Raw genomic sequence first — 3,104 nt, forward strand, 5'->3', positions numbered from 1 at the left:
TATGATTTCTAGAAATTTGGGAATAGAAGGGGAGAACATGCAATTATAATTTGCTGAGACATGAGCTTTTAATGGAGAGATGTGACTAGAGTGGCTCCTTATACAGTAAACCACTTGCTGGTTATCAAATAATCATTTTAAAATCTGAGAAAAGGGTGATCAACATGAATGCAACAATGCCTGCTCTTTTATAATCGGCATTCTTGAATGTTGGCTGACTGTGGAGCAGGTGAAAAAAATTGAGAATATATTCCCTATGAAAACTAAAATTATAGACCCTGTGCTCACATTTCTGATGGCTCTAGAAAGTAATTCCATGCTTGGAATGGGACCTTTGGTGGAAAACAGAACTAATTATTATTTAATACTTTGAGGATTGAAATACTAACAATGATAATAGTTAGGAATCCTGATCATTCTCTTCTAGAAGTATCTGGTATTTATTAGCATGTTATCATTTATATGTAATTTTCTTTACGGCTGATATCTTCCTGTATAGTCCTAATTAATGCAAATAGCATTCACAAAACAAATAACTAAAATGTCTTTAAGTTTATATGATTACTAACAAAATATTCTCACAAACTCACCCACTTATAATTTTTAAAAAATATATGCAAACAAACAATCTACAATTAAGCATATTTTCTTTCCAACATATATATTAAAAACATGGAATATTTTATGTAATATGCAGAAGAAAATGCATTATGTAAAATGCAGGAGAAAAATGTACTCTTTCATAGCACACTGCAGCCTCAATTTCTTGGCCTCAAGTGATCTTCCTGCTTCAGCCTCCCGAGTAGCTGGAACTATAGGCATACACTACCATGCCTGGCTAATTTTTAAAATTTTGTAAAGGTGAGGTCTCACGATGTTGCCCTGGCTGGTTTCTAACTCCTGAGCTCAAGTGATTGTCCCACCTTGGTCTCCCAAATTCCTGGGATTAGAGGCATGAGCCACCATCCCTAGCCTTGAGCTTTTTCTAAGACAGTATTTATACCATAATTTTAAGGTTATTTGTAAAGAACAAAAATTGATCATTTTACTCATAAACATATGGAACAAAGTAACATTGTTCAAAGATAGAGGATGAACTCATTAAGAATTAAAAATGTGTAGCATATTTGGGGCTTGCAAAACTCTCAGTATGGTCAGCATCTATTAATATGGATGAAAATTAATGGGAAATTCTGGATTGTGATCCAATTTTTTAATACTTACAAGCTCTGACCAAGAATAAATGCCTTAAGTATGAGTTTCTTGTCTGTAAAAGTATTCAATAAATACTTAAAAATTCACTTTCTTTTTTTGACCCAATCAGTAACTAGAACTGGAAAGAATAATTCTGTCAAACCAGTAGATATATATTAAAGAAAAATCAATGACCACAGATTTACTTTATATAATAAATGAACTATAATATCAAATTGCCATTTGTTCATAAATACTTATGTAGTATCTACCATTGACAGGCATTATATTTTGTGCTTCTAAATGCAGCACTAAATGATGATGCAGAGAGAAAAACCAGATTTTGTAGAGCTTGAAAACTGTACAATACATGCCTGTAGTCCCAGCCGCTCAGGAAGCCGAGGTGGGAGAATCATTTGAGCACGGGAGGTCAAGTGAGCCCTGGTCATATGACTGCACTCCAGCCCAGGTGACAGAGAAAGACCCTGTCTCAAAAAAAAAAAAAAAAAAAAAAAAAAGAAAGAAAATTGTACAATATGGGAAATCCTCTTTAAGAAAATGAATACAAAATCAAGGCTAAAAAAAGTAACATTATTTAGAAGGAGAAAAGAAATTATAAATTATACAGTTATAAGTCTGACCATTACCACCACCATTACATTAAAAAATCAAAAATTAACATTTTATATTTTGTACCTGTAATATTCTTCCTAGATACATGTTTTTACTAAAACTGCTTGAGTGCCTCTTTGTATAACACAAATTTTATAATTGTTTTTCTATAGGAGTGTAAGTAATTTTTTTCATCTAATGGAGATAATTGATTCTTTTTTCTTACTGAGTTAAAAAGTTTATTTTAGCAACACAAGTTGTTATTGGCAATACCAATTTAAAGTGTTACCAAACACTCTAAGTATTTAGAGATGAGGAAAGCCTTTCTTTGGAAGAATTTTCCATAGGTTACCCTCTGCTTTTTAATTTTTTTTTTTTTTACTTTCATACCTTGTTCCTTTGCCACCACCCACATCATACTTCAGATGCCAGGGAGTGTAGGATGTATTTATTTCAGCATACAACATCTAGCCATGCACTTTCAAGTCACAATGACACAGCACTCTGCAGGGGTATTAAGGGAAGCCATTTTTCACAGGGAGAGTTAGGAATAACTTAACTGTAATGGAGTGACAGCAAACCATACAAGTAAATTCCATTAAGCCAAACCTAAATGTATCCTCAATACAACTTCTGCTCAGTTGCACTCCCAGCATGCTCTTGGCCACTCCAATACTATACCATTTAACTATAAGAATGAGAGAGAGGAAGTTAGAGTGAAAACAGACAGTCATCTTAGCTGATTTTGGTTAAAATTTCTTACTTGTTCAAATTTTACAAAAACCTAGGACTGTGTGAAACCACTACTACAGTTCTTCCCAAGAGTTGCTGAGACACATGCAAGTAAGAGCCTTGCAGCTGGAGTTTCATTAGTTTCATGGTAAGTTCACCTTTGCTCACAGGGTCTTACTTTCTTGGAGTTTTCAGCCCAGCATAATATATATTAAATCATTTTATAAACCATTAATTATAATTACTATAAGTACTATGAAGAAGTATAGAAAGACATGGGATCATACAATAAGAAGACCAGTTATGGGCCTGTAGGTCAGAGACAATTTTTCTAAGTGGTACTTGAAGCTGAAACCTGAATGAGAATCTCATCTTGTTGACCAAGTGATGGTGGTGAGAGAGGTGGAGAGCATTCCAGCAATAAGGAAGAAAATGTGTAAAGACTTTGAAGCAGGAAAATCATATGATGAGTTGAGGAACTGAAATGAAGTTTAGTATGGTGGGAACTCAGAAAGTGAGGATTAAAGGGTCATCTGAAATGAGGTTTTAGAAAAAAAGGAGTGGGA

General features: G+C 33.8%; 1 annotated feature.

Moving 5' to 3' along the window:
• Positions 1,428–2,627: an enhancer, noted in NCBI's record as "MED14-independent group 3 enhancer chr5:165241962-165243161 (GRCh37/hg19 assembly coordinates)". NCBI's record gives its function as "activates an origin of replication core promoter dependent on BRD2, BRD4, P300/CBP and CDK7 cofactors, and independent of MED14, by STARR-seq in HCT116 cells {active_cell/tissue: HCT116}" and the evidence as "EXISTENCE:reporter gene assay evidence [ECO:0000049][PMID:35650434]".

The sequence above is a fragment of the Homo sapiens genome, chromosome 5 (assembly GCF_000001405.40).
Source record: "Homo sapiens chromosome 5, GRCh38.p14 Primary Assembly".
Taxonomy (NCBI): domain Eukaryota; kingdom Metazoa; phylum Chordata; class Mammalia; order Primates; family Hominidae; genus Homo; species Homo sapiens.